General features: G+C 45.1%; 1 long non-coding RNA gene across 2 annotated transcripts in view, besides 1 other annotated feature; it reads left to right on the top strand.

Annotated features, from left to right (window-relative positions):
- LOC105372225 (uncharacterized) overlaps nt 1-11115 on the top strand; it is a 62644-nt gene extending 51529 nt beyond the window's left edge. For both annotated transcript variants that reach the window (XR_001753514.2, XR_001753513.2), the window contains exon 3: nt 10736-11115. This is a non-coding gene — a long non-coding RNA (uncharacterized LOC105372225). The remainder of the gene's footprint in view (nt 1-10735) is intronic.
- Nucleotides 4404-5603: an enhancer, noted in NCBI's record as "BRD4-independent group 4 enhancer chr18:76766909-76768108 (GRCh37/hg19 assembly coordinates)". NCBI's record gives its function as "activates an origin of replication core promoter dependent on BRD2, P300/CBP, MED14 and CDK7 cofactors, and independent of BRD4, by STARR-seq in HCT116 cells {active_cell/tissue: HCT116}" and the evidence as "EXISTENCE:reporter gene assay evidence [ECO:0000049][PMID:35650434]".

The following is a 12647-nucleotide window of genomic DNA, read 5'->3' as shown; positions in this document are numbered from 1 at the left end:
CGATTTGTCCTTGTGGGGTCAACACAGAGTGTCCTTACCCAAACCTGGGCAGTGCAGCCTATACACACCAAGGCTGCAAGCATGGCCCATGGCCCAGGGCTGCAGACATGCACTGCCTGAACTGAGTACTGCAGGCAATTGTAACACAATGGTAAGTATTATGCACCTAAACATACCTAAATGTGGAAAAGGTGCAGTAAAAACCGTAGATAGGATAAAAAATGATACACTGCATAGGGCACGGACCATGAACACGGCCTGCAGGACTGGGGGCTGCCTTGGGTGAGTTGTGAGTGAGGGTGTGGACGTGGCTGTAGACTTTATAAACACTGCACACTTAGGCTACGCTCAGCTCATTAGATAAACTTTAGCTTACTGTAACATTTTTACTTTATAAACTTTTTAATTTAAAAACACTTTTTGGAGCTTGTAATAACAGCTTAAAAGATAAACACATTGTACAGCTGTACAAAAATATTTCCTTTCTTTATATCCTTATTCTATCGGCTTTTTTCTAGTTAATTTTTTTTAAAGTTTTCAAATTTTTTGTTAAAAACTAAGACACAAACACACACATTAGCCTTGGCCTATACAGGGTCAGGATCATCAGTATCATGGCCTCTGCCTCCACATCTCATCCCACTGGGAGGTCTCCTGGGGCCATAACACGCACGGAGCTGTCCTCTCCTGTGACAACAATGCCTTATGCTGGACACTTCCTGGTGGACCTGCCTGAAGCCGTTTTCCGGTTACCTTTTTATATAGACATACGTAAGTAGAAGGAACACTCTAAAATAACAATAAAAAGTATAGTAAGTACATAAAGCAGAACAATGCTTTTTATTATGACTATGGAGCATCATGTACTGGACACAGCTGTGTGTGCTGGACTTTCACAGACCGGCAGTGCAGTCTGCTTGTGTACACCAGCATCTCCACACACATGTGAGTCACCCTTTGTGCTACATGCGGCGGTCCCAGCATCACCAGGCAATGGGGAGTTTCCAGCTCCACTGTGATCTGATGGGCCCAGCGGGGAACGTGTGATCTGCTGTTGACTATGCCGCTGTCACCCGGCACGCGGCTCCCTTCCACGAGTGTCACCCGCACAAGGAGTCTGTGAAGCTGGCAGTGTCCTTATGCCCATTTCCCAGATGAGGGAAATGACAGAGCTCAAATCTGAATCCTGGCAATCTGACGTCAGCTTCATACCCCGAGCCGTGAATCCTTCCTAAGCAAGGTGATGGCTCAAAGCAGAAGAGAGAAAAGAAAAGAAAGACGCAAAGGAAAAGATGCATCCATACAGCGATGTTTTTCAAACGGTTTGGTCATGACCCACTTCACATGGACAGCCCAGCCACACCCATGCAGGAACATCAACCGGGACTCACGCTTTCAATTTGCCGCAAAGCCTGACACTTCCTACTCGATTTTCTTTCATTAAAAAAGAAAAAAACAAAAAAAAAAAAACCCCACAAGACTGGTTTAGAGCCGCTAAGCTGATCTCATGACCCACAAATGAGCTGTGACCCACATTTTGAAAACTGCCACTTAGCTAGAAACCCTTAACTCTCTTTCATCACAAATGTAACAGAACGAGGGTGCAGTTTCAGTTGAAAAGAGAGACAGCGACATCTATACAAACCGCTTATTCTGAAGATGATAGATAAAAATTTCAGGATAAATTACTCTAGCTTTAAAGTCAATAGGAAACGATGATATGGATTAAAGTTTTATTGGTAGTCTGAAAGATTTCTAACATGTTAATAAAATATCGCTGTAAATTTTGATATGGGAAACAAATAAATAAACCACAACAGCAAAAACCCCACAACTTAGAATTTATAATTATTTCTCACATTATTGCCAATAAAACTGTGAGCAACTTAATTTTTTTGATTTATCTGTATCATATTTAAGAATATTTCTAGGCAATGAGATAAAATATTTAACAGAGGAGTTTTTGCAAGAGGCAGAATAATCTCATATGATCTGCTTAGGAGGAAAATTATATTTAAGGATAGTTAGCATATTCCTTACATTCAGCTACATAATGTTACATAATGGAAGGATATAAATGCTAAGTAAAATACAATCTCAGCTGATGAATGGGGATAACAATTCCCTAGGGCTTACATACACTGAGGCAAATAATATTTAAGCCAGTTGACAGTGGCATCCGATGAAATGGTTGATGATAGTAATAAAAATAAAGGTCACTTTCACAGCTCAAAGTGTATAAAGGTTCACCGTTACAAGCAACCCTTTGGATTCAAAGATTTTTAAATGTGGCTGTAGGTCCGTGACAATTCAATGATGAATCCAAATTCAAATTTGACACTAAGGCTTAAGCCCAAGAATCAGACTCAAGATTCTAATAACCACTGGGTTATAAACTCCTAGAACCAAGAATGATTTCAGAAATATATTGCATTTGCTTCAAATTTTAATTTTAGGTTCATATGGAAATGTTCCAGGATACCATAGTGCATATGAAAATTAAATGTAAATGCCTAGAATTCAGTCCCTGTTGACAGCTGAATTCCAGCGATGGTTGCAAAGTATCTAGATCTTGGCTCCACAAAGCAGGTGCTCTGAACAGACTATTAATTGCAGTAAGAATAATGCTCTATGATTACAATGGAAGCAAGATACAGTGTACGTTTAACAAATGGAAACACACCATCTACTTGGGCTGTTTATTCATTCCAGGACCAAAACAGCTACTGAAATTTCTGAGTTTCTAATTTAGAAAATCTTAAATAGGGAGAGAAAGGTTTGGACAAGCCTGGCTAACAGTTTTCAAAAACTCATTAGTCCTGTAAAATTTCAATTTATCCTCTCAAATTTGCAAGGCTTCCAGCGCATTTACCAATAATACCCTTTCTTTTCAAGTTATCCTCACCTCCATCTGCAGTTCCCCATATCATTAAACTGAACACGGGAATGTGACCGCAGAAAACCATTCAGCATTCCCTGTCAATAATTACTATTAAAAGAAGAGAAAGAGGAGAGGTGGAAGAGATTAAAGTTCCCTGGTGGACTGGCTTCCCTCTTCAGCCAGATTTCTGTGAAATTCAGAGAATATTTCTGCATTTATAACACAAATATCAGCTTATCAACAACTATTCATTGGACCCTTGTTACGGGCAAGGCTTTGCGGCTGCCTCCACGAAGGTGAGAACGTACATATATTTCCCTTGTGATACACAATTCACATAATCACGCGTAGGATAATTCAACTAACACGCAGGCCTGCGTCCGAAGCATCTCTCGGGTGTTAACACGACCCTGGCCCACAGCGGTTGGCAAGGTGAGTATCCCGCAGTGGGCCACGCGGGCTCCTCTGATGAGGAAGATGGAATACATGGACAGTGTGCAGACACAGGCCAGGGAGTGGCGGGAGCATCATCCAGAAGCGGGACCGTTTGCAACCACCTCGCATATCGCTTTCTGGAGCGAAAGGTGGCCCAGTGGCCCCTTCACCCTGCAGACAGGCCACTGGAGTGGCTTTGTCCTGCTGGTCCTGGCTCCAGTCCTGGGCCTGCCTGTGGCTATCTGCATCAGAGCTCAGAGTGTGATGGCTTCACTCTACCCCCATTATCAAATTTAACTCCCCCAAAGGCTGCAGCATCCCCTGGCCCCCTGGCGAGGCTGAGCCTCAGCCCTAACTTTGGGGTCGGGGTCTGGAGTCTGTGGGGTGCTGTGCCCTGGCCCCATGCCTCAGGCTGCCTCACTTAGCTGGCTCTGCTGGAAGTCGCCCGGAGCCAGCCATGGACGGTGCAGAGCCCACCGCCCGCTTCCCTCCCACACATTGACCGGGTTGCTGGAGCAGTATCTCTGGACTGCGGATCTGGTCTCCTCGTTGCTCCGCTTACACATGGCCGATGGTTCCCTTTAGGAGGGATGGGTGCCTGAAAGAGCCGGGGGAGGCATTCTGGGCAGAGGGAGCCCTCAGGAATGGATGGCGTCAGGCTGGTGACCGTTTCAGAAGCCCGGCAAGGCGGACCCCTGGGTTCCACTTCACAAACCCCGCTTTTGAGATTCAGAGAGCACAGGCAACGGCCTGTGGGTAAAAGCTGTGCGAGTAAAAGCTAGAAACTAAACAGAGGACTCTCTGATCAGAGCCCAGGCCGTCTAGGATTAGCATGATGCCCACTAACCCACTTAGTTCACGGGGTTGGCAGGAAGCAGCCTCGGGCAGCATGGAGAGGGCTGAACAGGTCCTGTTGGCCAGGCATGCGTGAGGCTGGCGGCACAGAGGCTCAGGGCAGGAAGCCAGAGGGCCCCAGGATGAGCCACTGCATGGCCGACGACTCTTCTCCTCCATTGAATAGAATCGGGCGTTCAATTCAACGCCTTGTGTGTAATCTGTGGGAACATATATAGGTTCTCACCTTAGTGGAGCCAGCCGCAAAGCCTTGCACGTAACAAGTGTCCAGTAAATATTTGTTGATGAACTGATATGAGTGTTATAAATGCAGAAATATTCTTCAAACTTTACAGAAGTTCGGCTTCTGGGAAGCCAATCTGCCAGAAGTTTTAATCTCTTCTACCTCTCCTCTTTTTCTTTTGCTCTTTTTCTTTTGATAGTGAGCCTTTCTGGCTCACTTCTCAGCTGGGAGTCGCCCCAGGACACAGTGTAGGTCCAAGAAACCTAAGCAGAAGTCAGCTGAATGGGGTTTTTCCAGAAAAGCTTTCACTCTTCTGATCAAGAGATAGGATTGGCTTCCAGGCCTGGTGCCCTCGTTCTTTTCTCTTTCTGAGGGAGCGTGAATGCAATGGCTGGGTCTGCAGCAGCCATCCTGTGGTCACGTGGGGAGCAGCGTGAGAACAACCCACACACTAATGCCTGTGGGGGTGTCCGTGAGGTGCTGAGTCATCCCCAGCAACCCCCTCGCTCTGGACTTCGAGTTATGTGAGAAAAACAAACTCCGACTGAAGCTATGATATGGGGTTTCCATTCTTTGTAGTCAAATGCAAACTTTACTGATAGAACAAGGGCCTCGGATAAAAGGACATAAGGACACTGGGTGCCTTGGGCAGCACTGGAGACATACTTCTACTTCATCACAGCACAGGGCCAGCTCCCTCTTTAAGCACTGTTCAAAGCTTCCTTAAAGTGGTCCCAAGACCAGAAGCAGCTGTACCAGCCGCCTGGGATCTTGTCAGACTTACAGAGTCCCAGCCCCACCCAGACCTGGAGAACTGGAATCTGCATCTGACGCATGGCCAGGGCCCTGTGCCGATGTCACAGCACTAAGTCCAGTGCAGACCAGCGGTTTTAAATCCTGGCCTCACACTGATCAACACGTGGGCTGCCCTTGGACATTCTGATCCGATGGGCCTGCAGAGAGGTGGGCCAAGTTTCCTGCGGGAACCCTTCCCTCTAAGCTGTGAGGTGTACCTTTAACTGTTAGGTTAATTCTGGACCCAACTCCGCAGTCCCATTGGGTCATCACAGCTGACTAGCCTAGGGCTTAGGAGGCTGACCCTTCAGACTTGACCCCCACGTGGAGCTGTTGGGGTGACCGCGCCACGGGAGAGTTTTGCTGTGATTCTGTGTCCCCCCAAAAGGAAGGGCTCAGCAGTGGCCTGGGTGCCCAGACCTGCGTGCGGGGACAGCCTCCTGAGCCTGTGGAACTGGAACAGGAGAGAGACGTTATTTAAAATACAACCGTGAGTCGCAACCTGGTGCCGTGTGGGACCGAACGGAAAAGAGGTTGAGCCTCACGTGCTAAAATGACATCCCAGGGAGGCCGGCGGCTCCGGGTCAGCACAGAAGGGCGGGCCCGGGTCAGCGTGCGGCCGGCTCCCGCAGAGATCGCACCCCGCGTGGGGCGTCACAGCCACTGCTTCGGCCTCACATGGACGCCCACATTTTATTCCAAGATCCGAGTGTGACCGGGCAATGGGCCCACCCGGGACCCGCAGCCCCGCAGCACGGTGAGAAGCCACGGCCGCACGCTGCCCCGCGGGGCTCATCGGGTGCTGACTGTGGCCGAAATTCTGGCGGTCTGGAGGCAGCGTTGCCTTTACAGTTGGCGAGGAGCCATCGTGCCGGCCAGGGGACATGCCTGGGGGTGGCAGAGGCCGTCCCTGCGCAGTGCTCGCCCTGGGCCCCGAGGATGGGCCCCGCTCCCAGGGCCGGGTCTTCCCTCCCAGGGCGGCGCCTCGGTCCCCCGCGGTTCATTCCATGTCGCGGCGCAGGGCCTGGATCGAACGGGCTCTGCAGCCAGAGTGAGGGCTCACCCCGGACACGCCTGCAGGAACCATCCTGGCACCGACAGCCGAGGTCACAGGCTTCCCTGCGGCGCGACGGCTGCGCACCTGGGAGGGGAGGAGCTGCCCTCCGCCCTGGCCGGTGCTCGACGCCTCCGGAGCCCACGCGCCCTCCACCCCCACGAGAGCCTTGGGGTCGGGGTCACTGAGGGCTGCACGTGGGCTGCAGGGGCATCTGCTTTCGGGGCTGGCCCAGGGCTCGGAGCTCTGCCCCAGAGTCCCGGTCCCCAGAAAGCCTGGGGAGGGGACTCAGGAGCGTCTGCTGACTTCCCTCTGCTCCGCCGGCCTCCGTGGCTTCGTGCGGAGACACATGCGTGAGCGCTCGTGAAGAAGCAAGGCCGCTGCGAGACTCGGGGACTTACCTAAGAAGGGACTGTCAAAAGCGGACCGACCCCTGCTAGCTCGCCACTGGATCGGAACTCGGCCTCGAAGCCAGGCCCGGCGCAGGCCACAGCACAGCCCGAGAAACGGCTGCCCACCCGGCAGGCTCCTTCCCCTCACCTGTGGCTTCAGGAAGCCTGGCGTTCGTGTTGCCAGAGGACTTATTCTGCCACATCTTAAACCCTGTCTCTACTTAAAAACAAAAAACAAAACAAAAAAAAAACCCCAAAAAATTAGCAGGGTGTGGTGGCTCATCCCTGTAGTCCCAGCTACTTGGGAGGCTGAGGCAGGAGAATCGCTTGAACTTGGGGGGCGGAGGTTGCAGTGAGCTGAGATTGTGCCATTGCACTCCAGCCAGGGCAACAAGAGCGAAACTCCGTCTAAAAAAAAAAGAAAAAGCCATGGAGGAAGTTGCCCCACTGGGTAAGGAATCCTGTGGCTGGTGCCTCATCCTGAAGGACCAAGTAACGGGTTATATTCGCATCAGTGAATTGAGTATTCCAGAAGTGTCTCTGCAACACGTAGCCTTCTGCGGATGGAATTCCAACACATCAAGAGAAAAGCTCCATCTCTCTAATTACAAAAGCATGGGAAACACGAGTAATATCAAACACACAATTATTTAAATGCTTGTGAAATAGAGAATTTTTTTTCTTTTTTTTTTTTTTTCTGAGATGGAGTCTCACCCTGTGACCCAGGCTGGAGTGCAGTGGTGTGATCGCAGCTCACGGCAACCTCTGCTCCCGAGTTCAAGCAATTCTCCTGCCTCAGCCTCCTGAGTAGCTGGGATTACAGGCTCGGCTAATTTTTGTATTGAATATTTTCTAATATAATAATAATTAAGCCAGCCTTGCAAACATATGTCAAATGTTTCATCTGTGTCTGTGAAGTTTAGAAAAGCTAGGATTTTCTGATGTCAGGGAGTATGCATTAATAAAATAATTAAGCTCAGCATTATTTTCTACTTAAAAAGTTTAACTTGTTATTCTGGACAATTGGACATTTGCTGAGCTAAGTGCACCTCCTCTTAGACAGTTGATTGTTACTTCAAATAGTCACTCTTTCTTGTCCACACAGCTTATAATAAAGTAGAAATTTCGATTAAATATTATAATGAAGGTTAAAATAATTAAAAGTAGTTCTGAACAATTTTGCAAGATAAAGATTGGGAGTTAAGAAGCTTTTTTGAAGTGAACTTTTATCAAAAGGCAGGAAATACCCCCTTTCTGCAAGACCTTCTGATGCCCATGTTCTCCTTCTGGTTCCTTCAAAGATGAGCTATCTGGGTGTGGTGATGCTTTTTGCCCCTGTGGTTACAAATATTATTTCCATGCATTTATTACTTTTATGTGGCTTATAATTATTCATTTAACACTCCCAGAGCCAATCGAGTTAGATTCCATCAGCCACACACTGTGGGCAAATTGAGCTTTGACTTGGCCAATCCTTTAGTATTTGTGGTTGCGATCAGATCGATCCTGGAGCAATAGGCATCGATCCCTAAGGCAGGCAGCAAACACGTGTGGTCTGTCTCACACACACACTTTTCAGCTGGTGTACCGATGCCTACGTATGGAGGGCACCACGTGCACTCGTGAATTTGCTGTGCACCCACCAGGACAAGGTCTGAGCCCACTGACAATGGTTGGTTTGTGCCAAGTTGACACCCGAGCCCAGGGAGGACGTGAGGACACGAACTCCTCTGTCAGGTCCCCTTTTCAGGGCTTTTGAGAAAATCTTCAGTTTGCCTTCAGCTAAATACTAAGTCTAGCCATGATTTTCAGTTTTTCAGAGACAACTGAGTGTTTCTAAAACTAAGACTAATTCAGGCCAGTGGAAGGAAAAGGTTATTGGGTTCAGAGCTTGGTCTCAGGGACCATCCTTGAAAATAACCACATTATTGTTGTAATTTAAAACTTGGTCTACAGCTACTCTTCAGCAGACGGTGATGGAGGTGGCAGTGTCAAGGTTAAAACATAAATTGAAAGAACAGAGTAACCAAGCCATGAGATAACTTCTCAGTGAGAGACGGCAACGCACACGTGAATACATACACAGGGTCTTTAGGCAAGGAATTCGTGCCGAATGAATGAGGTGGGGGATTCATTAACTTCAACAACAGGTTAGATTTTATTTTCAGATCCTATAACATGTTCTGAGATGAGAATATGTTTAGAGTTTTGCTTGGGAAAAACTAATTACTTACAAATATTTATTAATAAAAGTTCATTTGCCCAAATTACCTACAGTCCCGAATTAACATCTGAGGTTTATGCACTCTATTTCTCAATAATAAATAAAGATCTAGTAGTTTCTTGGGTGAAATTATAGGCTGATTATTCAACTTACTACTCAGCATGTGTCTATAATGGCCAATAATAACTGCATTGTTTATCTTTAGAAGAATATGCTTTAACAGTACCCAGCTCTTGAATTACCAGTAGGATTTTTAAGAATCCCAAATATAAAGGGTCTGGGTTGCAAAATTTTTCTTGATGGTTCCAAACCTAACATTTTAAGTAGGCTGAAGCTGTGCAGTTCCACAGACCTGTCAGCTGTATTTCATGGTGGAGTGTGATGCTCTGTTACTAAAAATCACAAAGAAAAACAAACAAGGGTGAGAGGCTTATGTGCAAAATCTTCCTTAAATGATCTCAATGTGTGGGGAAGTCTTTCTACACTTTCTAATTGTGTATTCATGAGACTGTCACCATTTGACATGGAAAATGTTTTTCCAGGCCTGCTTGTTCTGCTGCAGCAGCGGCGTGACGGGGGGCAGGCATGTTTCTTCTGGGTAAATTGAGGTCACAACGGGAGCTGTTCTTAAACCGTCCTTGATACGGCAAAGAGAAAAAAAATCAAATAACAGAAACATTAAAAGACCTTGTCAGTTATAAAAATGATTTTGTCATTTAGATATTTTATCCCTATTTGTAAAAAGGTATTGGCATTAAAATTCAGATGTTCTTTAATTAAGCTAGAAGGAACACAAAATGGAATTAGTCATACCTAAAATAACCACGAGGAATGAAGGAAATAATTTACACTTTTCTGTAAAAATTCTAGTTTATAGATCATTCTGTAATTTAAAATAGGTGCATCATACCAACTTAGAAAGTATGGGGGAAGGGTTACCCATTTCCCATGTTCACAAATAATCACATTTGGAACGACTGTAATCAAACATTTATTTCCACATGTTTGAATCATATACAGTGAACGATTCATACCAATATGAACAAGTTCTTGCATCTTTCACTGCAGGGCGTGGCCTATGCATCATTTGTTTTGTTTTTCATTTACTGATGTAAAGAACTTTGGACAGAACAGAATACAAACATAATCTGACACCGTGACATCTCTTCTTCCTCTTATCTTACCAGCTTTCTGATTTTCCCACAGGGTTTTCCAAGCTCCGCGAAAGGCCAGTATTCGCTAGGAATGGTCTGTCCAAATGACAATCTATGATACTTCCAATGAAAACAGGCCAAAGATGCAGACGGTGGTAGAAATCAGGACAGTAACACCAATGTTCATAGTTTAGGCTCTCTGATATTCTACTAAGGAACAACAAGAAAAAAAACCACATTGTTTTCAATTGCATACTCTTTTGAATATATAGTGCTGTAATAAGGGGCTGTGCGTGTACTTGTGTGCAGGACTCATGGAAAAATCAAATATGTTTCTAACACCTCTTATCTAACAGAATATGCAGTAAGCATCAGTTCACAGCTTGATTTTATTTTACCAAGTATAGTTGCATTTTTAACATCAATAAGTTCAATGGCTTTTTCTTATAAAAGATACAAACACATTTTTCATGATCCAAAAATGATTCCATGTAGTTTCTTTAGCAAATTTATTTGTAATTGATTTTTCATATCTATGGGAGAATATTTTTAGGTAATAACTCATATTTTCTCTCTCTATATAAATACCATCAATTTTTTTCATGATTATTTTTGGGTAAAGAGAAAGATGTACATTAGTGGTAGTTCTTTAAAAAAAAAAACATGGAATTTTACAACTGAAAAGGATTTGAATGTCATCAAATTCTACCCTCTTCCTACAGATGGGAAAGCAGATTTTACATGGCACAGGAGGAATGAGAACCCTCTCCAAGTAGGGCCCTCTCCCCGGGTCCCAGCGTGGATTGTACCAGCCAGGACGATGCAGGGAGGACGAGGTCACGCCCCAAGCCTCGCTTGGTACAGAAATGCTGAAAGGAGAAAGACAAAAAACAAAAAAAAGCCTCTATTGTGATTTCATTTTAAAGTTTTCACTTCATAAAGAATACTGAGAATTAATGCCCAATATTTCCTTCTTAAATGAAAAAGGGGAATGTCATTTCCTTCCTCATGTTATATAGAATATTTTGTAGACCAAGTTTTAACACAGCTAAAAAGCAGCAAACAGGTCTGCCGGTATAAATGCTTCATGCCCTCTTTTTTTCAATGAAGCACCTGCCGGTATAAACGCTTCATGCCCTCTTTTTTTCAATGAAGCACTGTGTCCTAAGAAACTTTTCAAAGGAATAAACAAGTACTGGCTCCCTGTCTCAGTAATTAGCAAATGAGCACAAGGTTGTAACACAAAGGCCTGAACACGGGGCCCTCAGGTTGGCGGTGAGCTGGCGGGTGACAGGCTGGGCGAGAATGACACATGTGCAGCACGGTCTCCAGCTTCACGCGTGCACCAGAAAGATGAGAGGTCTGGACGTCTGCGGCGTTAGACAAACAGCCACAGTGAATACAGGGATTTGAAGCTGGTTGGGCTGGAAACATACATGCAGCCTAGCAATAAAGAAATGGCCCTGATGTTCACTGTGGCTTCGTAAAACACAAGATGGGGACTGGGCAACGCCTGCCAAACGCAGAAAAGCAGGTAGGGGCTCCATGCCTCCGAGCTTCCATGGGGCCAAAATTAAACAGCGAGAGCTGGAAGACAATTGCTTTTTAGCCCTTTAGTAGTACTTATTAATTAGCTTAAATGTTAATGTTTCCTGTAATGAACCTAGAAATGTATTTAAATAATTTTTAGGGATTGTTGGCATTTATGATTCTTTGATACACAGTCTACATCACCACAGTTGGCATGAGAAAGCAGCAAACACCCAGGCTTGCCAAGCCAAACACCTCTGATCTTACCTCTGGAAGTATTTTTGAAATACAAGTAGTAAATCCCTTCTCTCCTGCATGTTAGTTTATATTAATTACTTTAGATGGCTGTACATTTTTTGCTAATTCCTTACTTTAAAAAAATTGAATTTACTAGTCAGTTTACATTTTATAATTTCTATTCTAGCATTGAAATCTACATGGTTTGATTTCTAAGGCTTATAATATCTGCTGGAAGGTTGGCCTGGATTGGTTAGTTTAGTGGTTAGTACCTTTATCATTCCTTAAAATCCACCTGGCACGTCCCAGGTAAAAATTACTGTAGCTTCTAGGTTATCAGTAGTTATTCATTTTAAAAATTAAAAAAAAAAAAAAAAAGAAAAAGAAGAAATTGATTACATATCTTGAAATCCAGGAGCTATAAAATCATTCTTATCAACCGTTATCAGTGAAGTAAAGCTTATTTTAAATTAAGGACGTTCTCCATCTGGAATTAAGCTGTGTGGAGCTGCCACCATGAGCTCACAAAGCTGCTGCTGCTGCCACACTGTAAGCACCGTCCCACCCACTCCTGTCCTGTCATGTGATTTGATGCACATCTATTTGTTCAAGCGACCTGAAAAGCCGGTATTTTCACTTCATGCTGACAACGGGAAGGCAATTCCGAGTGGTCACTTTTGGGCACTGCGGAGTCTCTGATATGTAGGAATTTTCTACCACATCTTCTTCCATCACAGATGTAAAAAGAATCCACAACTAGGAGGCTGAATTTTTATTTTGGAAAAAAGCAAAAAACAAAAATTTCAAGACCAATCAAGATGCACTGAGACACTGCTTAAATCTAAGCTGCCAAGCTGTGTTGACGTT

The sequence above is a fragment of the Homo sapiens genome, chromosome 18 (genome assembly GCF_000001405.40).
Source record: "Homo sapiens chromosome 18, GRCh38.p14 Primary Assembly".
Lineage (NCBI taxonomy): Eukaryota > Metazoa > Chordata > Mammalia > Primates > Hominidae > Homo > Homo sapiens.
The sequence above is the reverse complement of the archived record's forward strand: the minus strand, read 5'-3'. Positions and strand labels throughout refer to the sequence as shown.